Consider the following 27,936-nt stretch of genomic DNA (forward strand, 5'->3'; position numbering starts at 1 on the left):
GTGTAGGGAAGAGAGTACCTCCACTCGAAAAGGAATTTTAATCTGCTTTGCTTCTGTTGTTTATGGGTGGCATATCACTGATGCCCCATAAAGATTTGTAGAATTAATATGTATCTAAAAATCTTATCTTGCTACTCAAAGAAGTGGAAGCCATAGCTCTTGCCCTCATGGAGCTTACAGTTGGTATACGATATAGAATGAATGATGTAATAAAAGGCAAGTGCCAAATTATGGCCCAGACAGTGAGTCTTGGTGATTGTCTGAAGGATGCAGAGGCTGCCATGGGCCAGCAGTGCTTTGTGGAGAAGATGGGAATTGTACTAAGCCTTGAAGGTTGCTGCTTCTGGAATAAGCTCAAGGACAACTAATTGAAAACACATAATTCAGCTTTGACAGCATGTCATGGGTGTCTCACAGAAAGCCAACATAATTCTTCCTGCTTGGTCAAGAGACATATATGTACAGTGTCACCAAGAAGCAAGCTTGATGGGTGAACTCCTAAGACGTTAGCTCCCCCAAGCGATTTATGGCCCAAGTTTGAGAACAGCCACATTGAATCATCAATCAGTGAGTAGTGATGTGAGACCTGCAAGTGTGTGAGGCTAACAGTCCCTATTCTCTAAGAGCTACCAGTCTGATCAGGAAGATCCTGACAGGCTCAGTGGACATATACATGAGCAACCCCAGAGAAATTCAGCTTGTCTGTTGTCTATCTCTGCATGGATCAGAGACTTACTTAGGGAAAGAAAATATGTGGGGAGATTATGATGAAGACCTCCCAAAATGTCCCGCATGGACATCCTAGCATCATATGGCCAGAACTCAGTCCACCACCTTCCGCCTCACAGATGCTCGAACTTTTGTGTTCTTCATCTCAGGACCTGATGACATCATCTACCTGCAAGTTGGAAATTTAGCAGTAGCCCTAGCTCACTGCATGGAATGTAATAGGCACTCAATCCATATTTCTTTTCACTCACTTATTCATTTACTCATTCATTAATGTATTCACTAAACAAAGAACCTACTCTGTAGGGAGGTGGTATAGAATATGGGCCAAGAACATGCGTTCTGGAGAGAGATTACTTCAGTTGGAGTCATGGCTCTGCCACTTACTAGCTGTGCAATTATGAACAAGCTACTTTTCTAAGGCTCGGCTGCTCTATGTGTAATATGAAAATAATAATATATCTCTTGGCCAGGTGTGATTGCTCACATCTTCAATCACTGCATTTTGGGAGGCTGAGGTAGGCAGCTCTCTTGAGCCCAGGAGTTTGAGACCAGCTTGGGCAACATAGTGAGACCCTGTCTCTAAAAAGAATATATGTATACACATATATACCCATACATATTGGTGACTGTCTGAAGGATGGAGAGGCTGCCATGTATGGGTATATATGTGTATATATGTGTGTCTATATATAGACATATATTGTTTTATATGTCTATAAATATTTTAAAGAGGTTATTTCAAAGATCATTTAAATAAGATAATCCATGCCAAGTGCTTCATAAAGAGCCAAGCACAGGGTTAGCACTTAATAGGCTTGTCCTTTATGAGGATTGCCAGCAGCCACCATTACTGTTACTGCTGTTGTCACTTAGCAGGAGTATGGCTAAATGCAGCCCTGCTCTTGCACCAGAGAAGTTCTGTTGTCTCTTTTCTGGGGGTGCATGTCACCCTTACCAAAAATGTGTGTGGCCCCTTTAATAAAATCATCTACTGGAAGTAGAAGCCACCAGGTAGACTTGAGTCTTGGGGAAACACAAAACAAAACTGAGTCCCTCTAAATATCCCTTATAGATCCATGCATGGAGGGCCTCTATCTGGATCCTTCTCAATGCAGGGAATGGAGTCTCAATTCCTTACCTCAAATGCCCCTGTGACCCTGGGCTGCCCCAGTCCATGGCTGGGTTGACTTCAGTGGCTTTTGTGCCCCAGCCTCATTCCCAACAGCAGGATGCCAAAATATGATCCTGGATGCACTCTGGAAACATTTACCACTTGCCAAAGGGAAAGGACGGATTCTGGCCTGTGTCTGACTAATTAATGACCTTGAATGAGCCAGTTCACCCATAGGTGCCTCTGCTGCATTAGATAAATTCAAGTGCCCCTCTATGCCTTATTCTATGATTATTTGAAGAGCTTTTGGGTTGACCTCCATGGGGCAGATGACTCACCTCCTAAATGAAGTTAGTGGCTGGGAGGAAGGGGTAAAACCGCCATAACTGAGCACAAGTTACTTTCAGGCACTCTGCGGGGCATTTTTTTCCTCCATGTCATCTGATTTACCCCTCATAATAACCCTATGAAAGGTATGTTATTAGTCCCATTTTGTGCATTGGGAAAGTGAGGTTTAGAACAATGAAGTACCATATCCAAATTCATGGCAAGGTGTGGATTTTTTTTTTTTTTTTGCCAACATTTGGCCTTACTGCAGTCTGTGTTCTATCCATCACCCTACGCTGGATAATCTGGCTCTAAAAATCAGTGGGGGAAAATGGAGTCTATATAGCCATGTTCATGAATTTAACTGAAGTAGTTTAAATGAACTTTGCTAAATTGTAGTCCAAGGCAAATATATGGTCGATAGTTCAATAATTCTGGGTTTTTAAAATTTTTGGATGACTTGGTATTATGATAGTAGCTATGTAATCTTGAAAAAAATCACTGCACTTACTAGTATTTCCATTTCCTCATATGTACAATGGAAACATGTACACCCTATGCTACCTCTGATGACTAAAGTGAAGAGTGAACAAGTAATGTACAAATGCACTTTTTGGATTGTAAATGCTATGCAACTTTGATTTAGTATATAACTTGGATTGTTAGATCTGGAATATCTAAACAACTACTTTTAGTTCCAATGTGTAAATCCATTTATAGAGGTTTTTGCATGAAAATATACAGAGAGACAGAAAAATACATAAATCATAACTAATGATGTAGCTTGATGGGTTATTCCAAAATGAACACACTCCTGAGAACCTAACACCCATATGAGGGATAGAGTATTATCCAGACCCTAGAAGTTCTCTTAAGCCTCCTCCTAACCACTACCTGCTGCATCCTTTGTAGAGGTGATCACTATCCTGACCTCTACAACATAGATTAGTTTTGCCTATTTCTGAACTTTATATAAACAGAATCATACAGTATGTATTATTTTATGTTTTGCTTCTTAAACACGAAGGTAACAGTTGTGTTTTAAAAAAGAATGTTTGTGAGATAGCCGGGTGCAGTGGCTCACGCCTGTAATCCCAGCACTTTGGGTGGCTAAGTTGGGCAGATCACTTGAGGTCAGGAGTTCGAGACCAGTCTGGCCAACACGGCGAAACCCCATCTCTACTAAAAATATGAAACTTAGCCAGGCGTAGTGGTGCACACCCGTAGTCCCAGCTACTCGGTAGGCTGAGGCAGGAGAATTGCTTGAACCCGGGAAGTGGAGGTTCCAGTGAGCCGAGATGGCACCACATACACACAAAAAGAATGCTTCTGAGATAGATCTTGCTGTTGCAGCAGTTTATTCTTAATAATTTTATTAACTTTAATTTTATTAATAAATTTATTAATTTTGTTAATAAGTTTATTAATTTTCAGGACTATATAGTATCTTATTGCATAAATACACCATGATTTATGCTAGTCTATTATATTAATTGATTATTAAATGGCAAACCACTTTGAATTTCTGGAACAAACTCAACTTGGTCTGATATATTATTCTTTTGTAGATTGCAGAGTTCAGCTTGATAATACTCTGTTTAGGCTTTTTGCTGATGTGCTTATGGGAGAGATTGTTCTGTACTTTTTCCCTTCTTCTTTTGCAATGTTTGTTTTAGGTTTTGGTATTAATGTTATTTTGACTTCATAAAATGAAATGAAATGTTATTTCTTCTAAACTCTGAAGAAATTTATGTAAAATTGGTGTTATTAATTCCTTAAGTGTTTGAGAGAATTCAGCAAAGAAATATCAGGGCTTGAAGTTTTCTTTACGGGGAGGTTTTAAATCATGGAACTAATTATTTTAATAATTAGTTATTAAATTATTATTTAATCTATTTAGAGAGTTTTTATTCTTCTGTCAGTTTGATATGTTGTGTTTTTCCGTGAATTTGTTCATTTTATCTAAATTTTCAATTAATTGGCATAGGGTTGCTTATAATATCTTACATCTATTTAATGTCTGTAGTGAAGTCTCCCTTTCTTTGGTCATGACATTGATGGTTTTTTTCCTTCTTTTTTTCATAATCAGTTTTGCCTAAAGCTTATGAGTTTCACACGTTTTCCAAAGAACTCATCTTGGCCAATTAAAATTATCTTCATTGCATTTGTTTTCCATTTCATTATTTCTGCTCTTATCTGTATCATTTCCTTTTATCTACTTTCTTTTTCTTTTTCTTTTTCTTTTTTTCAGACAGAGTCTCACTCTGTGGCCCAGGCTGGAGTGCAGTGGCACAATCTCGGCTCACTGCAACCTCTGCCTCCCAAGTTCAAGCTATTCTCGTGCCTCAGCCTCCCGAGTAGCTGGGATTATAAGCACATGCCACCACGCCTGGATAATTTTTGTATTTTTAGTAGAGAGAAGGTTTCAACCTGTTGGTTAGGCTGGTCTTGAACTCCTGACCTCAAATGATCCACACGCCTCGGCCTCCCAAGGTGCTGGGATAGCAGGCGTGAGCCACTGCACCCGGCCCTTTTATCTACTTTCTTTGAGCTACAAATTTCCCTCCAGGCACTGCTTTAGCTACATTTTACAGTTTTGATGTATTTTCTAATTTATATTTATCAATATATAGCATATATAATTTATATTTATTGACTTGTATATCTCTATATAAATCTGTAATATATAATTTATATTACATATATTTATATCTAATATATGTATTTCTTTAAAGATTTCTGCATAAACCCATGATTTATTTATAAGTGTAGTGCCTAATTTCAAAATGTTTGGAAATGTTCTAATTCCCTTTTAGTTATTGATTTCCAATCCAACCCCACTGAGGTTAGAGAACATACCCAGTATGACTTTAATCTTTTGAAATTTGTTGGGACTTGCTTTGTAAACCCGCATAGGGTCAATTTGTGGTAAATGTTCCATGCCATTTACTCTACAGTTGTTAGGTATAGTGCTGTATAGGTGTCAATTAGGTCAAGTTTATTATTTGCATATTAAAATACTCCATCTCCTTACTGTGATTGTGGATCTATTATTTATTTTTCCTTAAATGTTCCATGCCTTTTACTCTACAGTTGTTGGATATAGTGCTGTATAGGTATCAAATAGGTTAAGTTTATTATTTGCGTATTAAAATACTCCATCTCCTTACTGTGATTGTGGATCTTTTATTTATTTTTCCTTATTGTTCTGATAAATTTGTTTTCTATATTTTGGGTCTGTGTTGTTAATGGCATATCAGTTTAGGATTATTATATTTTCTGTGTACATTCACCCTTTTATAACAAAATGTCATTATCATTATAAAATGTCCCTCTGTATCCAGTTATGCTTCTTGCCTTCAGGACTATTTTAGTATTGATGTGGCTACACACACTTTCTTTTGGTTAGTGTTTGCATGGTGTATATCTACTTCCATCCTTTTATTTTAAATCTTTATCATATTTAAGATTTGAGAAAGATCTTGAGAAAGGCAGTGTGTATTAGCTATGTACTCATTTGTAACCAGTTACCCCAAAGCTTAACACCTAAAAACAACAAAACATTTAATATTCCACAGATTCTGGGAGTAAGGAATTCAGAAACAGCTAAGCGAGGTGGCTCTAATCCAGAGCCTCTCATGAGCTTGCCATCAAAGTGTCAGCCAGCGCCGTGGTCATATGAAGGCTTTACTGGGGTTGAATTCCAGTAATGCTCGCTTAACCATGGTTTTGCTTTCTGAGGTTTCAGTCACCCACAGTCAACTATAGGCTGAAAATATTAAATGGAAAATTGCAGAAATCAACAATTCATAAGCCTTAAATTATTTATTCAAAGTAATTATTTATTCCATTACTCTGTTAAATGTATACTCATATTTAAGTTGTGCTTATTAGCAGCATATTTTTTATCATGTCTCCTAGTCTTTGTCATTGTACCAAAACATTTAATCTTTGTATTTAATATAGTTTCTGAGATATGTGGTTTGAAATCTACCCTTTTGTCTTTGATTTTCTATTTGTTTCATTTTCTGTAATTCTTTTTCTCTCATTTTATTGCAGTATTAAACCATGTCCACAGATTCTCTGATAAGAAGTGGAACTTAATCTCTTTTTCCTTGAGTGTGGCCTAGACTTAGGGAGTCATTTCTATCAAATAGAATAAGGCAGAAATGACAGTCAGTGATTTTTAAAGACTAGATTAAAAAAGGCATGTACCTGCTTTATAAATTTTATAATTAATTTATATATTAATTGAGATTAACAATATTTAATAAAATAGAACTATTATAACAATATACTGTAATAAAAGTTATGTAAATGTGGTTCTCTCTCTCAAAATATCTTATTGTACTATAGATCTTAGCAACCTCGGCATATGATTTTTTTCTTTCCTTAGTAAGCTGAGAACTTTCACCTTTTCACTTAAAGAAAGCACTTTCTGGCCTCTTTTTGGCTTATCTGAATTGCCAGCAGCACTACTTTTGTGCTTTGGTGCCATTATTAAGTAAAATAAGGGTGACTGGGACACAAGCACTGTGATACCGCAACAGATAACCTGGTAACTGAGATGACTGACTACTAAGTGATGAAAGGAAGGGTATACAGCACGGATACACTGAACAAAGGGATGATTCACGTCCCAGTTGGCATGAGATTTCATCACCCTATTCAGAACGGTGTGCAATCTAAGGCTTCTGAGTTGTTTATTTCTGCAATTTTACATTTAACGTTTTCAGACCATAGTTAACTGTGGGTGACTGAAATCTCAGAAAGCAAAACCATGGTTAATGGGTGGGGGTCGGGGGGCAGTTACTGTATTTCTACCCCAGGCAAGACTTCATGTGACTGAAGCCCTGGCTAACACCTTGACAGCAAGCTCATGAAAGACTCTGAGAGCCATCTAGCTTAGCTTTTTCCTAAATTCCTTACTCCTAGAATCTGTGAAACATTCAATGTTTTGTTGTTTTAAGTGTTAAGTTTTGGGACAACTTGTTACAAATCAGTAGACAGCTAATACATATTTATTGCCTTATTTGGAATAATTTTTTATTCCTTTGCTCTGCTAAATGTTTGTTGATTATACCTTCTTTTAGTGGTTACTCTAAATTACAACACGCATCTTTGACGTTAAAATCTAATGTAAATTAATACCTTTTAAATCACTCATGGACAAGGCAAAGTCCATAGGATACTTTGTTTTTTCCTGCCTGTAGGGTTACTTTTATCACATATTTTAATTCTCTGTCTATTTTTAAGCCTCACAAGATATTTTTAGTGTTTCATACTGTTGTATTTTACCATCTCCATTGCTCCTCATTCCTTCTTGCAGTGTACATTTCCATAGGAAATCATTTTGCTTCTTCTCAAAGAATTCTTTTTATAATTTTTCTGTATTGCAATACTCTGGTGACAAATTTTCTGTTTTTGTTGATCTGAAACTGTCTTTATTCTGTCTTTATTTTAAAATATATTTTCACTGAGTAAAGAGTTCTGTTTGCAGTTATTTTCTTTTAGCACTTTGAAGATGCCACTCCATTACTTTCTGACTTCTACTTTTTCTGTTTAGAAGTCATTTGTCTTACAGTTGCTCTTTGAAGATAATATGTCTTTTTTCTTTTCTCTGGCTTTAACAGTTTTTTCTGTCTTTGGTTTCCTTTTTTGCTTTCTTTCTTTCGTTTTTTTTTGGAGACAGAATCTCGCTCTGTCGCCCAGGCTGGAGTGCAGTGGCGCTATCTCGACTCACTGCAAGCTCTGCCTCCCAGGTTCACGCCATTTTCCTGTCTCAGCCTCCCGAGTAACTGGGACTACAGGCGCCCGCCACCACGCCCGGCTAATTTTTTGTATTTTTAGTAGAGATGGGGTTTCACCGTGTTAGCCAGGATGGTCTCGATCTCCTGACCTCGTGAACCGCCCGCCTCGGCCTCCCAAAGTGCTGGGATTACAGGCGTGAGCTACCGTGCCCGGCCATGTTTTTGGTTTTCAATGCAGTTTTACTATGATGTACTTAGATGTAGTTTTCTTAGTACAGTCATGCATCATATAACCATGTTTCAGTCAATGACAGACCACTTACACATCAGAGGTCCTATAAGATTGTAATGGAGCATAAATAGAAACCTGATGTACGGCACTTGATGTTGGCATTACAAATCAAATAGGGGAAATGATTGATATTCAGTATTGGTGCTGAGACATTTGGTTTTTCATATGAAGCATATATATATGTGTGTGTGTGTGTGTGTGTAACTAAAAATATGTATACATCCAGTTTTATGTAAGTACACACTAACACACTCTGAGGTTCACACAATGACAAAATTGCCTAATGATATATTTCTCAGAGCCTATCCTGTCATTAAGTGACACATGACTGTATTTATCCTGCTTGGTGTTTTTAGCACTTTTTAAACTGTGGCTTGTTACCTTTCAGTAGTTGTGGAAACTTCTTGGCTATCGTCTCTTTGAACACTGTTCCTACCTATTCTCATTCTCCTCTCCTGGAATTTTGAATACATACATAGTGGACCTTTCATCATGTAACCTTACATCTCTTATGTTTCTTTTTGTATGTTTCTGTATGTACCATTTATAAACAAAACAAAACTATTTCAATCTGGTTATTTCCTCTGACTGATCTTCCAGTTCATTAATTCCTTTTTCAGCTTTCTGTCACTTACTATTATATTCATTCATTAATTTCTTAATTTCAGTTCAAGCATTTTTCAGTTGTAGAATGTCCACTTTCTTCTTTTTACAGGTTCAAGTTCTCTGCTGAGGGTTTCCACATAGCCATCTAATTTCTTGGATTTATTAATCACATATATTTTAAACTAAATATCTGATAAATCCTGTGAGGCTGTTCCTTTCTCTGTTGATTTCTCTCAGTTTTCTGTTATGTGTTCATGTCTCCTGGTGTATGAAGTAATTTGCAATTAAACACAAAGCATTTTGTATAAAAATTGTTGAGACAATTTGCAGCTCTGTATGTTTTGAAGTCAGTTGGTTTGGAATGACTTGCCTATGCAGATATTGGGGTGATTAGAGTCTGAGTTTCAGTACCTGTGAGGCTGTTCTCCCAAGTATAGCTCTCTGAGCACCCCAGTGGAAAGCCTGTGCTCTTTACCAGCACCTCTTTTCTTTGGAGAGTCCTTCACTCCAATTTTGTTCCTGCTCCCTGCAAGACATGCAGAAGTTTCTTAGCTTCTCAGCATCTTTCTGAGAAACATAAAATGCCTTGAGGAGAAAAATAAAGTAATGGACATATGTCAGACTTATCTCACTTCTCACTTCTTTTTAACTTTCCTTTTTTCCCCAAGATATTGGCTCCTCAAGTCCTTGCTACTTTGGTTTGATGTCTCCAAACACACACACACACACACACACACACACACACACACACACACACACAGAGAGAGAGAGAGAAGTGATTTAAAATTGTTAATTTTTCTCTGTGTGAGTGTTAATTTGTAACACACTATTCCACCACCATCGATGGAGGTAGTAATCTTTCAAAACCTACTTTCCACAAACCAAATAAATAACTCCACCTAACTTTAGGGCAGGCAACCTGGTATGCTTCTGAGAACCAGTTCTGTGAACACACAGATCATGCTTATGATTTCAGCCAGTGCATCAATTTAAACTAAAAGTTTAAGATGTTTATTTTTCCTCATTTTATTATTTCTCTTATTTGTTCTATAGTCATCTTAATCTGTGTAAGAAATACTGAAGCTGTCCAAAAGTTCAAATTTGAACCCAATGCTGAATTTAAAGGTGTTGCCCCAAAAAACATTAGGTAAACATGCAAGGATCGTCACTGTTAACCTGTTACGCAATATGACCTGGTCCCCAGGCTACATAATTTTAGAGTCATTCTTTACATTTCAAGCTCTGCAAGCACTTGGAGAAGTGGTGTTCTGTGGACTCTTACTTCTTCCTGACTTTTTGATGTTCTCTTTTGTCAATGTGACCAACCAATTTTGAATCAGAGCTACTGGCATCTTTAGAATGACATGTATGGTGGCTCAGAACTGTACCCTTTAAAACTCAGCTCCAGTAAAGGGAGATTCTGAGCATTTTAAGATGTTGGAAATTGAGTTGCATCCTGCATTAAAGGCATTTCTTCTTTATATAAACTGTAGGATTCTGTTAAGACAGAAATGGGGAGAGCTAATGGGCTATTCTGAAAGAACTACCCATTAAATTGTAAAGTACGGTATGTTTTAAAGTGACAAACCCAAGAGCTGAAAATGACTCTTTGATCTTTAAAAGGCTCATAAACGGTGGCAGCGTACTCACAGACCTATATTTATGTATTCAAATATTGGGAGGAAATCCAAGTAGAGTCTCAAGACTGCGGGACTTTGCAATTTAGACAAAAAGAGGCCAGGGAGGAGGGCAATTAAATCAAACTTTTTACAGCATAAAGCAAGCTTTCTTCCCTCCTTGTTAATCAATGAACTAGAATCTTGGTAAGGGCTTGCTTTTTAAGTGGGGTTTGAGCCAATCTTTACACAGATGTGAGGTATTTGTGAAGAAAGAAAGAGACAATTGAAACCACAACCAATAGTGTTTTGTTTTTGAATTAAATCTGTGGTTGGTGCCATTCTGTTTTACTTTGATGAAGGGTCTCTAACCATCTCCTACTCCTCAGTGCCCACAAACATATATCCCCGTTGCCTGGTATTGAAACCATTAGCCACATCCGGAAGGGCTAATCTATGGACAACATGCCTATAGCCTCTGTTTCATGGAACAACCCGAGAGGGCTCATAAACAACTGCAGGGACATTGTAAGGGCTTTGAGGATGGCGGTTGTTAAGAAACATTCAAAGAAAGTCAGATCACCATGTGACTTACACTGATGAATACTTTCAGCCTCAACGGCACGTTGGCGTTTTCCTCTGACCCAAATGATGCAACAGAAATAAATTCTACCTTGCATACAAGAACCACAGGCACTGGAATGTGGAATCCGAAGCTTTTCTACCTGGTTCCCCTGGTGACCACAGGTATTTAATGGTCACATTACAGATTAGTTTATGGGATTCCAAGAGGACTATGGACCAGAGCAAACTCAGTTGATCCAAAATTGAGTTTTGATCATGTTAGCAGTCTACTTCAACCAAATTTTGTGGATAATGACAAAATAAATATGCATTCTTTAACCACCTAAGCTAATAAACAGAACAACTGAATCCCAGAATTCCCCCGTCACTCCCCCTCTGCTACCAAATGTAAACTAGGATCCTAAATTTTGTGTTAATCATTTCCCTAGATTTTTAAAAGTATCTAGATATGCTTGCATAAAAAATACATCATTTAGTTTTGTTTGCTTTTGAAGTTTATATAAATGGAATCATACTCTGTGTGCTCTTCTGATTTTTTCACCATAACTTATCTTGCCGTATGTAATGGTAGTCCATTTTTTTTTTTTTTTTTTTTTGAGACAGAGTTTTGCTCTTGTCTCCCAGGCTGGAGTGCACTGGCGTGATCTCAGCTCACTGCAGCCTCCGCCTCCCAGGTTCAAGTGATTCTCCTGCCTCAGCCTCCTGAGTAGCTGGGATTACAGACACCCACCACCACACCCAGCTAATTTTTGTATTTTTAGTAGAGACAGGGTTTTACTATATTGGCCAGGCTGGTCTGGAACTCCTGACCTCAGGTGATCCACCTGCCTTGGCCTCCCAAAGTACTGGGATTACAGGCATGAGCCACTGTGCCCAGCCCATTCCTGTTTATCTCTATATACTATTCCACTGCAAGAACGTAACACAACTTATTATCTATTCTTCTGTTGTGGACATTTGGGTTGTTTCCACTTTTTGCTAGTACAAGTGCTGCTGTAAGCATTTGCATACATCTTCGGGTACACATGAAAGGAGTTTGTGAAGTATTTTTCTAGCAGTGGAAAACACTACTAGAAATAGTCTTAGGGATATACTAGGACTTATTATAAGTGTGTGTTCAGTTTTTTAGGAGTAATGTCAGATTATTTTTCCAATTGGTAATATCTATTTATACTCCCACCTGCAAAGTGTGAGAGTTGTCATTGTTCTTTATCCTCTCTGACATTTTCTATTGTCTTCTTTTTTATTTTTCCCTTTTATATCAGTAGCTAAATGAGATGGGTATCTAAAAATCTGTATCTTACATGTGTGGAAGCTGAGACTTGGAGATTTCAAGTCATTTGACTACGTTTATAGAGCATAGGTTCTGGAAATGCGACATGTGTCAAGGAGCATGTCACCCAAAACCAATTCATAGAAAACCTGCCTAATGATTGATCACCTAATGGCTAATTCTCTTAAAATTCACCTCTTTGAAAGTTTCACATCTGTAAGCTCTTCATGTAAAACTAAACACAAGGTAACATAATTGATTAAAACTAACTAAAAAAATATTAACTAAATTTTGAGAAAAGTATCTTTAGAAAATCTGGCTTAAAAGTCTCTCATTTATTCACAAGGAAAAATGACACTTGCTATTTTCTAAATGTGTGCATACCCTCTACACTCATATACTGAAATCCTAACCTCCAAAGTGAGTATCAGGAGGTGGGGCATTTGGGAGGTGATTAGGTCATGAAAGTGGAGGCCTCATGAATGGGGTTAGTACCCTTACAAACGAGGCCCAAGGGAACTCTTTCACCCTTTGCACCATGCAAAGACAAAGCAAGAAGTCAGCTGTTTATAACTCAGACAGCGTCCTCACCAGAACCCAACCATGTTGCCAGTCTGATCTTGAACTTCCCAACCTCCAGAACTGAGAGAAAAAATTCCTATCATTTATAAGCCACTCAGTCTATGATATTTTGTTATAACAGCCCCAATGGACTAAGACAACACCAAAATGTTTTTAAAAAATTCATTATTTACAAAACACTGTAAATTTGATGACTGCTTATCAAAGATTTAAAAAAGAGAGATGGCCTTAGATATATTGAATATTTAAAAAAGCAAGATGGCAAATAAAAATGGCACATGGAAATACTGCAAAAACCTCTAAAGTTGGATGGAATTTTAAGGGCATTTGTCAGGCACATGGATCACAGTCGAAGTGGTTTCTAACAAATCCACCTAGACATTTTAGGTTTGTTGGAAACTTGGGGCAGAGTTGCCGATGAACTAGCAGGGGAAGCACCTTATGGTAGATGCTAGTGCTACCCTCACACCTCCCCTCGCTGCCTCATTATTTTGTAGTCCTTGAACACCCTGAAGGGCTCTTAAGAATCTGGAAGAAATCAGAATCTGAAAGAAGATAAAGCACTTTTACCCCTGGTCAGTGCTTCTGCCAAAGTTGACTCATAGAAACCATTTACGTGTATGTCAGTTATAATTCGGTTTGTTTGCAGTGACAGAGAACCCCACATTTGAATGCTTTATGTGAGAGATAGATGTTTAACTTCTTTCATGGTAGATGAATCCAGACACAAGCAATCCAGGGTTGGGATGGGGCCTCCACAAAGACACTCGGCCAAGCTCCTCCTAACACCATCCACCCTTCTAGGGATGTGGTGCTCTTTCTCTAATCATCACCTCTTCATTTCAGGCAGTAGGGCTGGGGCAGAAATGGAGAATGGGCAAAGCATGTAAACTTTAAAGAAAGTTTTCTGGAAACTGCCATACCCACCTTTATTTAGATAACATTGGCCAGAAATTTGTCATATGGGACACCAAGCTGTGAGGAGGCTGGGTGGTGTGGTCTTTCTTCCAGGCCGTCATGTCCCCAAGGGAATCTATGACTAAGGAAAACCGATATTGGGGTAGGCAACTAGAAATTTTTACCTCTCTAAAGTTCTTTAATGGAAGAAAGGTACAAGTATTTCAGCTATATAAATCCTATTGCTTTTGTAGGTTTTAACATGCAAGGAATTCTGTTTGACAATCAAACTCAAGGCACGCACAGGCTTAGTGAACTCCCTCCATTCTTCACTGCCAGGTGATGTAGGGAGAAGGTGGAGCCAACACTCAGCCCACTGCCCATCAGCAGTAAGGCCAAAGGAAGAGGAAATTCCTCACCTATTAACATGGACAATGAGACCATGGGGAGGACAGTTCAAGGGTCTTCTGGCTTTGCAAAGGGTCAGATCTGGATCACCGAATACATGTTGGAAGATGGAATACTGCTTTCCTGTTAAGTCCATGTATATGGCTCTCATGCACCATTCCTGACAAGGGCAGACCAGTTTTTCTTCAGCTACCACAGTTTCCACCTGAGTGGATTCTTCATAGTTGTACTGGAAGAAATCTTGAAGAGCATTGAGTTCAGGGTTCCCTTCTGCCCCACTATCAGACTGGGGTTCCTAGATAAACTTGCCCCTCTCCAAATTTTCATCTCAGAGAATGGCCATTTCATGCTTCTAGTTGTTTAGGCCCCAAACCGTATTTTTCTAATGCACCATATGATATGGTTTGGATTTGTGTCCCTGCCCAAATCTTATGTCATATCATAATCACCAGTGTTGGAGGAGGGGCCTGGTAGAAGGTGACTTGGATCATGGGGGCGGACGTCCCCCTTGCTGTTCTCGTGATAGCGAGTTCTCATGAGATCTGTTTTTTTGTTGTTGTTGTTGTTTGTTTTGTTTTGTTTTGTTTTGAGACAAGGTCTCACTCTGTCATCCAGGCTGAAGTGCAGTGTGGTGTGATAGCTCATTGCAACCTCAACCTCCTTGGCTCAAGTGATCCTCCCACCTCAGCCTCCCAAGTAGCTGGGACCGCAGGCATCTGCCACCATGCCTGGCTAACTTATTTTTGCATCTTTTTTTTTTTTTTTTTTTTTTTCGTAGAGATGAGTTTTGCCATGTTGCCAGACTGAGATCTGGTTGTTTAAAAGTGTGTAGCACCTCCTCCTTTTCCCCTTCCCCCTCCTCCCAGCATGTAAGACGTGCCTACTTCCTCTTCACCTTCCAGCACAACTGTAAGTTTTCTGAGGTCTCCCTAGCCATGCTTCCTGTGTAGCCTGCAGAACTGTGAGTCAATTAAACCTCTTTTCTTTATAAATTACCCAGGCTTAGGTAGTTCTTTACAGCAATGTGAGAATGAACTAATACACCATATCTAATCCAACAGCACATCCTGTTGGATCTACTTTCAGAATAGATTCAGAATCCAACAACTTCTTACCTCTGCCACTGCAATAATCTCTTACATGGAGGTCCCAGTGGGTGAATGGGAACTGAAACCCAACCCTGCTCCACTGGCTGAGCTGTGTACCTTTCTCCAAGGCTGCACCCACCTGGAAGAAGGGGCACCCTTTTCTATATATACCAAGATGCCCTCTACAGGCATCTAGCAACTTCCCAGTAGTTCGTGTTACCTCTCTGCTCAAAACCCTCTCACTCAGAAGAAACGCCAAAATCTCACAATGGCAGCACTATGGAACTTGGCCCAGGTACCTCTGTGATGCCATGTCCTTCAGCCACACTGGCCTCCGGCGAGCTCCGCCTTTACACTCACTATTCCTTTTACCTAAATTGGCTAACTTTCCCACATCCTTCCAGTTTCTTCACAGGGGGCCCTTCCCTGGATTGTAGCACCCCAACCCTGGTGTGTCCATCTCTTTGGCCCTCCATAGCCACATCCTCATCTACTGTGCCTAAAATTGTGTCCCCTAAAAGTTATATTCAAGACTTAACGCCTAAGACCTGTGGATGTGACCTTGTTTGGAAATAAGGTGTTTCCAGATAGAATCAAGATGAGGTCATACAATCAAGATGAATCAAGATGGATTCAGGTGGGCCTAATCCAAGGACTGGCATCCTGGTAAGAACAGAGAAATTTGGACATAGAGACCCCCAGGGGAGAAGGTCTTGAGGAAGGAGGCGGCAATGGGAGTGATGCATCGAGGCAAGCATCCTAGTCCATTTGTGTTGATAAAATACCTGAGAATGGGCAATTTATAAACAATAGAAATGTATTTTCTCACAGATCTGGAGGCTGGGATGTCCAAGGCACTTGTGGGTTTGGTGTCTAACAGGAGCTCGGTCTTTGTTTCCAAGATGATGCCTCGTTGCTACCAGAGAGGATGGATGCTGTGTCTTACGTGGTGGAAGGGGCAAAAGGGTAAAAATGGGCCTGGCTGGTTCCCTCCAGCCCTTTGTAAGACACTAATCCCATTCATGAGGGCTCCAACCTCATGACGGAACCACCTCCTAAAGGCCCCACTTCTGTGACTACTGCCAGGTTGGTGATTACGTTTCAACATAGGAATTTTGGGGGACACATTTAAACTGTAGCAGCAAGGAGCACAAAGGATTGCAGAATCCACCAGAAATGGAGAAGGAGAAAGACCTGGAACAAATTCTCCCTCAGATCCTTCAGAAGGAATCCACCCTGCTGACACCTTGATCTTAGACTTCTGGCCACCGTAACTGTGAGACAATACATTTCTGTTGTTTTAAGCCACCAAGTTTGTGGTTCTTTGTTATATTAGCCCTAGAGGAAACAATTACCCCGTCCACCATACAATATGTTACTTATTAATTTGCTTAGGGTCTGCCTCCCCATTAGGAGGGAGAGGATTCTGTCTGTGTTTATTGCCACGTCTCCTGTGGCTGGCATGGGGCCTGGCACAGAGTAGATGCCACAAATACTTCCTGGAAAAATGAATAAAAGTTCACTCAGCTGAACCTGGTATGTGGGTCTCCCAGCACCTCCTGTGGCCATTTCTGATGCATCCTCCGCCACTCCCACCTGCAGCGGGTGACTGACTCTTCAGTGACAGAGGAGCTGCACACAGGTGGCGAAACGCATCTCATGTGGACGTCTGAACCTAGTGCCTGCCCAGGCTGCTAGATACCTGAGACTGTGATATGGTTTGGCTGTAATCCCACCCAACTGTCATCTCGAATTGTAGCTCCCATAATTCCTACATGTTGTGGGAGGAACCTGGTGGGAGATAATTGAATCATGGGGGACGGTTTCCCCCATACTGTCCTTGTGGTAGTGAATAAGTCTCACAAGATCTGACGGTTTTATAAGGGGTTCCCCCTTTCACTTGGCTCTCATTTTCTCTCTTGCAGCCGCCATGTAGGAAGTGCCTTTAGCCTTCTGCCATGATTGTGAGGCCTCCCCAGCCATGTGCAACTGTGAGTCCATTCAACCTCTTTTTCTTTATAAATTACCCAGTCTCGGGGATGTCTTTGTCAGCAGCATGAAAACAGACTAATACAGACTGGTATCTAGAAACTCACCGATCTTATGCAGTTCTTCCCACCAGAGATGTGGTTCTTTTCTCTGGAACTAGGACACAGGGAGAGTGTGAGTTATCCTAGGGCATGATCTGGGTCTTATTCAATTTGGAATCCCCAGTAATAGGCAGAGAGAAAGCACAGGACAGAGAGCTGTTGAACGAATTACTGGGTAATAATAGCTTATATTTTTTAGAGCATTCATAAGGTAGCAGGCACTGTTCAAAGAGCTTGGCGTGCTTCAATGCATGTCAACCTCACAATAAACCTATTATTTTAATTTTACAGACTGGGAAAGTGAGGTGCAGAGGTATTTTGCAACGTGCCCACAGAACCCCAGCGAGCCCGTGTTGGAGTTACAACTGTGCCTCAGGGAGCATTCTCAGGCAGCATTCTCTTATGCTTCACCGTCTCACAGATGATAAGGTTTCATTCAAGGACTTACAACAGCAACCCGGAGGGAGCATTCTCAGTGGCTGGTAGATGCCATTTGTACTGAGCAGGACAATTAAGCCCAATTCTGGAAAAATTCTGCTTTCTCTATTCAATGCATTTTATAAATGTCTTCACTCAGCACATTTACCCTACTAATTATATTTTGCTTTGTGATCATGGTATGTCATTTGCATTCCTTCAGCACACACTGACTGATGGGGAAGAGATGTTGGGTGACCCAGGCAAGCCAAACAGGATTAAAGCCTGCTGTCTCACCAGGTGGATAATCCACTTTGAACACTTGAGAGGGGAGTGTTGAGATCACACCCCTTCCCATGGGACATTTTTCTGGGAAATAAAATCGGTGACAAACACCACGCTTGAACACTCACATTGACTCTAGGGTGCAGGCTGAGCTCATCTGGTGCAGGGGAGTAATGCAGAGGCGAGGCCTGAGTCAGCGCCAGGCACAGGAAGGGGATGCAGGATGCACCACAGCCCATGCCTCTTAGGAGAAAATCTGGGCCTTCTCCATGGCTGTGTCTCTATTAATTTGCTAAGGCTGCCCAAATAAAGCACCACACATGGGCAGCTTACATAACAGGAATTTATTCTCAGTTCTGGAGGCCGGCAGTCTGAGATCAAGGTGTCAGCACAGCTGGTTCCTTCTGAGGACTGTGCAGGAGAATCTGTTCCAGGCCTCTCCCTGAACTTCTGGGGGTCACTGGCCATATTTGGCATTCCTTGGCTTATAGAAGCAATACCCCAATTTCTGCCTTCATCCGCATGTGGCATTCTCCCTGTGTGCGTGTTTCTGTGTCCACATTTTTCCTTTTTATAAGGATACCAGTCATGTTGGAGGTCTACCCTACTCCTTGATGACCTTATCTTAACTAGTTATATCTGCAACAAACCTATTTCCAAATTAGGTCACATTCTGAGGTCCTGGGGGTTAGGACTTTAACATATGAATTTTAAGAGGACACAGTCCAACCCATAATAGTAACTTTGTCCCTCTCTCTCTTTTGACACAATAATGACCCTATGCAGGGATATTTCTAGGTGGCTACTGTCTGTGTGTGTGTGGTAGGGGGACTTCTAGTACTGTTTTGGATTACTGTTGACAGACAGCAGCCTGAGGCTAGGAAGCACTTTGGGGCCATGACTTAGAGCAAAGCTAGTAAGTTTTCTCAGGAATTTGAACCCAGAATTTCATCCCCATGGCACTTTAATCCAGTACATTTAATGGCTCAGATGACCCTGGCCTTATCAGCCTGGTGCTCTAAGCAGCTGACCTAACAGTGTGTGCATGCGTGTATGCACATGTGTATGTTATGTGCATATATAAGTGCATACACATAATGTTGGACACAGAAATATCTCTGAGAACTGTCCCTTTATCACCCTTCAGATAAAATTATTCTCAGCTTGCTTAGTTGCAGTGTTTCTTACTTTGCATCTCCTAACACTTTCATACATTTCTCCCGAAGTGCATAGGCAAGGAGCTTCAACGGAATTCAATGTCAACCTGGTCATCTTACCATGATTTCTAGGAAAAAATGTGTGTAATTGGTTCATGCCCTCCTTCTGTACAGATTACAATTCTCCTTTTTTGGCATGAAAACCTCCATCTGTCTTTTGAAAGCACATGTCACTTATTTATTAAAGTCCTCCCCAACTTGTTCAGGTTGAGTTTCACTAGTACCTTTCTGGAGTATTTTATACCTATGTTATAGCCCCATATGTTATACTTTGGATGTCTGTTTACCTGTCTGTAAGACTGTCTGCATAATTCATGGGCCTTGTACAAAATAAGAATTCAGGGACTCTTGTTACAAGAAACTATTAAGAATTTCAAGATGGGTCAGGCGCGGTGGCTCACGCCTGTAATCCCAACACTTTGGGAGGCTGAGGCGGGCAGATCACGAGGTCAGGAGTTCGAGACCAGCCTGGCCAACATGGCGAAACCCTGTCTCTACTAAAAATACAAAAATGAGCTGGGCGTGGTGGTGTCTGCCTGTAATTCCAGCTACTCAGGAGGCTGAGGCAGGAGAATCACTTGAACCTGGGAGGTGGAGGTTGCAGTGAGCCAAGATCGCACGGTTGCACTTCAGCCTGGGAAATGGAATGAGACTCCATCTCAAAAAAAAAAAAAAAAATTAAGATGGAGATAGCAGAACCATATAGGAAGTGTGGGGTCCTTGTAAGAGTGTGGTCCATAAACTTGGCTTTGTCTGTCTGCCTGGTTCATGGATTGTGACTATCCTCAGTTCCCCAGTGCCCATCATTCAACAAATGTTAGATGAATAAATGAATCAATATGTGAATGACTGTAAGAATAAGCTTTTGATGAAAGGCAGCCATTTTGTAAGCAAGACATTGCTGCTTTTAATTGTCCGCAGAAAGCCTCACAGAATCACTGCGGTGAGAGGAAAAAAAGTGTCTGCATGCAATTATTCGTAATAACAAATAATCATACTTTGTATGCGTGTAAGACTTTTCATGTTCAAAACACTTTCAAAACATTAATTAATTCTTACAACAGCATCAATGAAATTGAAACTAGAAGGAGAATTTGAGGTATGCAAAATTTAATTACCAATATTAAAATTTGCCACACAACTCACACTCCTCCCACTGGGCCAGGAAACACATTCCATGCCATCTTCTCTCCCTCTGAAAAAAACATGAACATGAGAACTTAGTTCTATTATATCAGTCAGGAAGGAGGCAAAACTATCTGTGGAGAAACCCCAAGGGGTGGGGAGAGGTATTTATACATCTGAGGGAGGATTGCATTTATTCATCTGTGAGTTCCCTTTAGATTCTGGGATTTAGGATTCTGGGAACCCAGGTAAGCATCGTCATGACCACAGGGTGGGCTCATTTTGAATAAAGATGTGGGGAATTCTGTGAGGTTATAAGATAAACCCCAGCCAGTTCTTTCCCCCGACCCCCAAGAAATGGTGGTGACTTCTTAGAATCCTGAGCCACATTGGGAAACTCTGGTGGGGACTTTGTCTACATTATTGGAGGGTGGGTGGAGTGTGGGTGGGAAAGCTTGGCCTTATACAAAGACAGCCCAAAGTGGGCAATGTGGAGCTGCTTCTAGAACCCTGAACATTCTGAACTTTTGGATCCTCTAGGCTGGAGGGGTGGGGGTAGGCATTGGTGCACCTTAGCAGGGGGAGGAGCTACCTGTCCTCTCTGGAGCAGAGAGAGCCTTCACACGGAGGACACCTGGGCTCTGTTTCCCATGAGGCATGAGGCCACTGGGTGGGGGGTGTCCTGGTGTCCTCAGCCAAGGACTCCTGCCTCCTGAAGGAAACGAGAGCATAGCTCCACATTCCCTAAGTGGGGCTGTGCATCGTGACTTCCTTCCAAAGGGGACAGTGAAAAGTCGGGGGAGATAAAAGGGTAACATTCTGGAAGAGAGATATAACAAACGCTACTTCAGCCAGGCGATCAAGGTCAACATCAAGGCACAAATGTTTGTTGTTTTCTTCTTCAGGCCTAGGTTTCTCCTCTGAAATAACTTGAGCTCTTCAGAAGGTACAAAATCTCTCTGACACTAAAGTTTAGTTTAACGACTGGCTAGAGACGTGGTAATCAAGCATCTCACTGACAAGCTTCTGTTTTCTTCTTCTTTGTGCATGGCCATGTCCATGTACTGCCTGATCCTACCCCTGTTTCCTACCTGTGCTCAGGAGCGGTGACTTCTAGGTCACATCCTTTCTTGCTGACCCCACTTTGGTTCCTGACATTTTTTGTGGTCCTCCTGCAGACCATTTAAGATCAATGTTAAAGCAAACTAAATATGGCCTGAGAAGGACTCCATATTTCTATATTTGAGTCCTGTGGATGAACTGTAACCTAGCTTAATGGTCAGACAAAATTAAAAACCTAACTTAATAGTATGCACCTGTAACAATAGCTAAGGGTTGGCCAATCCCAGTGGTCATAATTCAACCACTCATAGACTCCTGAATGTTCAAACTGCGTTCAAATAAGGCAAACGCCAAGCTGTAACCAATCTCACTGTATCTGTACCTCACTTCCGATTCTTGTACATCACTCTACCTGTTTGGTCTATAAATTTGTTCTGACCACGAGGCACCCCTGGAGTCTCCGTGAATCTGCTGTGTTCCTGGGGGCTGCCCGATTCACAAATTGTTCATTGCTCAGTTAAACTCCTTTAAACTTGATTCGGCTGAAGATTTTCTTCTAGCATCAGTCATGAGGTCCCATGAGACAGCAGTGACAGAACTGGAAGATACTTTAGACAGTAATTCTTGGTGGGAAGATACCTTGAGTTGAACCCAGAGTCTTGAAACTAAAATACTAAAGATACTTTGCACTGGGGTGGTGGTGAGAGAAGTATTTCTTTTAAAAAACTCCCAACCACTACCCAAGCCTGATTCCTGCAATGTACAGCAATGAAGGCAGATGAAGCTTCCTGGCCTTAGGTTGAACATACAGCCCTTTCCACTTTGGGTTGGCTAGTGTCATGTAACTCTTTTTAGTTTCTTTATTATTATTATTATTTTTGAGATGGAGTCTCGCTCTGTCGCCCAGGCTAGAGTGCAGTGGCGCGATCTCGGCTCACTGCAACTTCCGCCTCCCGGGTTCACGCCATTCTTCTGCCTCAGCCTCCTGAGTAGTTGGGACTACAGCCGCCACCACGCCAGGCTAATTTTTTATATTTTTAGTAGAGACAGAGTTTCACCGTGTTAGCCAGGATGGTCGCGATCTCCTGACCTCATGATCCGCCCGCCTCGGCCTCCCAACGTGCTGGGATTACAGGCGTGAGCCACCGCGCCGGCCTATTATTATTTTTTAAAACAAGCATTAAAACATGCTTCAGTGCTCTTTCATATGCAAAGAAGCAACCCTGGGAGCCTGCGCCTTTTCCAGGCCCTCATGCCTTCAGAAGCCAGAGTGTGCTAGGAGCACCGGGGGTGAGGACATAGCTTCAGCCTGAAGCTGTTCACTGGAGGTATCTTCCTAGTGTGTGCAGTGGGCCTTACTCAGTTTCCCAACCCTCCATCTCAGAGAAAGACAAAACCAATTGGATATGGTGTATGTACTTGTCAAACTGTTTATTTGCCATTCACACTGATTGTAACACTGGATTTACAGAAGAAACTGTGGTACAAAGAGAGGAAGGCTCTGGTGGCTCCTGAACAGCAGCAGTCCAGCTGCCCTGCTCAGGCTGGGCACGACGAATGCTCCCAGGAGAGGGGAGGCGGCCCACCCGACTGTGTACCGTGGACTGTGGACAGTGCAGTGCCTGCTCTCCTGTGCTATCTAGAAACACCTTGGAGAGAGGGTTCTGGGATATTCTCTCATGTCATCTGGCTGAAGACACCAGCTTGACAGTTCCCCTTTAAGAAGCATTCCATACGTTTGTACCAGGGAGAAAGAAGCCCACGCACGAATTTTCAGGATGTTTTGTGACCAAACCCAATAACTGCCACACAAATAGACCCTAGGTGGGGGCTGGCTTAAATAGGACCACATTTCCCGTTGCTTTTTCAGTAGATGTGTTATACCGTCATTTCAATTTGAAAGTTTATTTTTTTCCATTGATTTTTATACATCCAGAATAACACAAATAACCAACAGTTCTTTTTCTTTTTTTGCACATTCATTTCCCCTAGAACAAAAAAAGTGAACTTAAAAAAAATTGGAACCATGCTATTAGCTGTTTACAAAAGTGAATAAGAAGTAGCTCATTTTAAAGTCTAAAATAAACAAAGTAGAAAGAAGCATTTTTTTCCCTACAGTATTTAGCAAACCTAAGAAAAAGTCCTTAGAAACACACACAAAAAAATTGAAAAAAAGTTATAGGCATTAACAATATTTTATAATGAAGCTTAAAATCTATTTACATACATAAATACAATTAACTTTGTTGATGCAACTCTTCTGGAAGGAAAAAAAGAGCCAAATGATCAGCCTCATCAATACTGACCTGGCTAAAAACAAAATTCCCAACAAACACACAAAAATCCCAAAACAAATGTATACGCTACGGTAAACAAAAAGGCATTTTGTTCAGATGTAAAATATGTTTTGTGAGATTATTGTCAAACAAATTTTCATGTATAAAAGACCCAAACATGTCATTCCCCCCAAAAATAAAAACCAACAAAAATAAAAATCATCAGGACGGAATGTCCCAAAGAAACAGGTATTTCAAGGCAGAAATCTGCAATCCTAAATTGCAGGACATTTGAGTGGAACCATTCATTTCCTTTCTAATCAGAGCATTTCTGTTTATCTGCACAGAAACCCAAGGCAGCAGAAAGGCTGTCTATTTACTCACTGATTGTGATTTGCCCAGGAAAGTTTGCTGGTTTGGACAGCAAGCAGATCCAATATGGTTGGCAATGTCTCTGTTCTGCTGGAAGAAACCCATAAACAGGAGAAAGGCTGACAAACCATGTTCCTTTATGTGAAGGGGGAAGAACTGGACCTTCTTGTGTTCTGAAATTTGGTACTGGGTGGGGGTATGTGCTATCTGCTTAAGAGAACACAGGAAAAGGAGGAGGGAGAAAGTGGGGTTTGGAAGATAGAGGAAGAGAGAAAAAAAGGGAGATATTGGGGGGAAGAGAGGGAGGGAAATGTATTTTCAGATAGTGAGAAAAAGAAAGAACTGAAATATGTATCCATGTTGAAATCATAAATAGGGACATGAGTAAGCAGTAGAAATGGCTTATTCAATACTTCTCCTGGACCAGACACATGCAGTTATTACATGATTGGCTTAAGGGTCTCATTGATACCTTAACTTTCCTGAGGGCAATGAATAAAAAGATACCTTAATCTACCTGAAGTCAATGAATGCAATTTTTCACACACACACACACACACGCACACACACACACATACAAAAATGTGTTGCGTGAGACCTATCGCCAAAACAACTACAGTTTGATTTTTTTTGAAACAATTAAATACTATATATGCTGGTAAGAGTCTGTGAAACTCTAAATGACCAATCCAGTGAGCCTACAATAGTGACAAGCCCCCTCCACACATGGCTTTGAGAGTAAAGGTTCAATGTAAAAGATTATCTAATCAGAGCATGAGGCTGGTTTTGAGTTGGAATATCTTCAGTTAACAGAATTAAACTGAAAAACATAATTTTTTCCTTCATTTTTCTCCAGCATTTTTGCAGGTCAGACATGGTAACATGTGCTGAAAAAAAACATTTACGTTTAATTTGGGGGAAATGGGCTAATGGTGCTTTTCAGAAATTAAATTTTTACATTTGCTGACATTTTATGGTAATTTAGCTGCAAAAATGTAATACGGAATAATATATGAAACTGAGTTGTGGAGGGAATCCTGTCAAAAATGAAAGTGAATATATTCTGAGTTTGTCCGAGATCTGCTATAGCTCTTCTCTAGATAAGAACGACCTGACAACATAAGCTGCTTTACTCTTTAACTCTTACCAAAGTGCTACTGCATGTGTGTAAAACAAATAATCAATATATATATAAGAAAACTCAAAAACAAGTTGTTTTAAATAAGTCCAGCTGTTTTTGCTGCCTGCAGCCAAAGATTTGCCTAATTTGAATGCTTAAATTTATAAAATAAAAATCAAACACTGTTCTGAAGTCCTGCTTTCAAATACTCTTCAGAGTTGACCTGAAATCGTTTCAACGAATTTTAAGAGGTACGTTAAATAACCACCAGATCATTTGGAGCACACATGTGTCAAAATCAGCAGTTAGTATTTATGAGTTGTACAACAACTGCATTCTGACCAAATCCTCCAATAAAAATAGTGCCATAAAATTTACAGCGACATTGGATACCTTTGAATTGTAGCCACGGACAGTAGTGACATGAATCTTTCCTGTCACACTGGTGCACAGGTAAAAGCCCATATACCCCATAGGGTAGGGTCTCAGCCTGGTGAAAGCAACACAAAGATGTTGTTGAGTGAGCAGCACAGGACAGGGGGTCTCGCACAGGTGGGACCATGTTTTCCCACTTGTCTCCACTGAGGCACACAGAGGCAAATTGACTCCTCGAGGCCTGCTTCTGGTGGGCCCTTAAATTGCTATAATCGTAACCCCTAAATTCATTGATTTGGTTCCTATGTAAATGTGGCTCCCCTACACAGTTTACTTTGGCTGTGTTCTGTTACACAGCATCTGTGAAATTATCAGATGACCTTGGGGTGAGCAAATCCCTGGGCAGAAATCAAATCCTCTCCAAAGATGTAATTATTGGCACCTGCCTCAACCCTCTGGAACTAGATTGACCTTCTCTGTTTTAAGGAGGAAGTTAGATATGAGACCCTTGTTGAGCCTGGCAGAAAATTCCATACTTCTGATCCTTGGAGTGACCCTCAGTGTCTAAAAATCCTATTAAAAACGTTGCTGCGTGAGCTACTCACTTGTTTGATTAACATGAAAGGGAGTTTAATGTAAACAATACTTCTGGATAACCAAGCGATCACATTACTCATTCTTTTTTTCTAGCCTTCTTCAATGTGATACATTTAACTTTGGCTACTATCAAGAACAAAAGAAAATGTAGTACTTGATATTTTTCTTAATATAAGTACATTTAAATAATTAAAAAATTATCAACACATAAATGTCTGAACATCAAGATACATAAATATCTGGGGATTCCTTGTGGGAATACAGTAGTTAAAAATGACCCAAAGCTGTAGCTGTTTCTCAAAAAAACAAAACAAAACAAAAAAAAACAACTACCCAAAAGTCCAAAAGAAAAGTTAAATAAAACTTAAAGAAAAGGGAATCATATTTCTTTCCATGGTCAAAGCAAGAAAGAAGCAAGCTCAATTTATATATATTTATATAAACGTATATAAAAATAAAAACCACCCAAATGCAAATACGCATTTTGCAATTGATAAGGTGCGGAAAAATTAAAAATAAGAATTAGATGCCAAACAGGGCGAGTTGCATCCCTCCTCTCCCCCCACCCCAACCAAAATTCCACACTCTTTGGAATAAACAACTTGGTTAAAAAGTTAAGTCAAGGGTATAAAATCTTTCTTTTTATTCACAGCATTGCTAAATCAGAAGCATTCACAGTTTCCCTCCGGGAATCTTCCTGTTTGCTTTCCAGCGCGTCCCCTGGGTGCTGGGGCCGGCGGACACCCTCGAGGTGCGTCGCCTCGGACACCTCCGCGAGGGCCGGGGCGCCAGCAGACGGCGGCGGCGTGGGCTTCTGGGCGCAGGAGGCTGCGCGGGCCTGACCTACAGCGAGATCCTGGCCGTCGGGCGCCCTCGGCCCCAGGACGGTGGCCGGGCCCAGGGCCCGGGATCCCGGCGGGCTTGTCGCGAACAGGAGGCCCGCGCGCCCGGAGGCGAAGGCGGCGGCCCGCGGGGCCCAGCCGGGCCAGGCCTGGCGCCTCAGTAGGGCCTCCACACGGCCTCCTCCAGGCGCGCGGAGGGCGCCATGTTGGTGGGGGAGTTGCTGTGGCTGCCCTCGGCCTCCACCACGTCGCTCTGGTTCGGGAGGCTGGGGTTGAGCAGCGCGGAGCCGGTGGAGGCGTTGGTGCAGGGCGGCAGGATGCGCGGCGGCGAGCGCTCGCCGCCCACCATGGAGAACTGGTAGGAGCCGGCCGAGGCGCCGTAGTACAGGTGGTAGGAGGGCGAGCTGGCTTGGAACGGGCCTCCCTGCGCTTGCGACGAGCCGGGGTAGGGCGGCGGCAGGTAGGTGTGGTAGCGCGTGGCCGAGCCCATGGCCGACATGCCGATGCCGATGCCCGAGGTGACCGGCGTCGGGGAGTAGGTGAAGGCGCCTGGATAGTGCATGCGGGGGTCGGAGATGGAGGGCAGCGCGGGGAACTGGCGCGGGTCGCTGAACGCTGTCAGGTCGGGTGCCGCTGCAGGGCGGGCAAGAGAACGGAGCGGAAGTGAGTAGGAGGTTGCGGAGGCCACAGCTCTTCCCTCTGCCCCAGGGGGCTACCCAGGATGATACCGCCTAGGAGGATGGGAAGCCACCCAGGATGCTACTGCTGGGGAGGACGGGGACCACCCGGGATGCTACTCCCAAGAGGACGAGGATTACCCAGGATGCTATACCCAGGGGGACAGGGACCACCCAGGATGCCACCTCCTGAGATGACGAGGATCACCCAGCA

General features: G+C 41.6%; 1 protein-coding gene and 1 long non-coding RNA gene across 16 annotated transcripts in view; one reads left to right on the forward strand and one right to left on the reverse strand.

Moving 5' to 3' along the window:
* The window catches only part of LINC01426 (long intergenic non-protein coding RNA 1426), a 39,062-nt gene extending 19,108 nt beyond the window's left edge, over nucleotides 1-19,954 (forward strand). The window contains exons 2-3 of the long non-coding RNA NR_038885.1: nucleotides 17,193-17,258; nucleotides 17,649-19,954. This is a non-coding gene — a long non-coding RNA (long intergenic non-protein coding RNA 1426). The remainder of the gene's footprint in view (nucleotides 1-17,192; nucleotides 17,259-17,648) is intronic.
* Nucleotides 22,869-27,936, reverse strand: part of RUNX1 (RUNX family transcription factor 1) — a 261,502-nt gene continuing 256,434 nt past the window's right edge. For all 15 annotated transcript variants that reach the window (XM_011529768.3, XM_011529767.3, XM_005261069.5 and 12 more), the window contains one exon: nucleotides 22,869-27,678. In XM_011529768.3, the coding sequence (XP_011528070.1) occupies nucleotides 27,203-27,678 (476 nt within the window). In that variant the 3' untranslated portion in view covers nucleotides 22,869-27,202. The remainder of the gene's footprint in view (nucleotides 27,679-27,936) is intronic.

This window comes from Homo sapiens, chromosome 21 (genome assembly GCF_000001405.40).
Source record: "Homo sapiens chromosome 21, GRCh38.p14 Primary Assembly".
NCBI classification, from domain to species: Eukaryota; Metazoa; Chordata; class Mammalia; order Primates; family Hominidae; genus Homo; species Homo sapiens.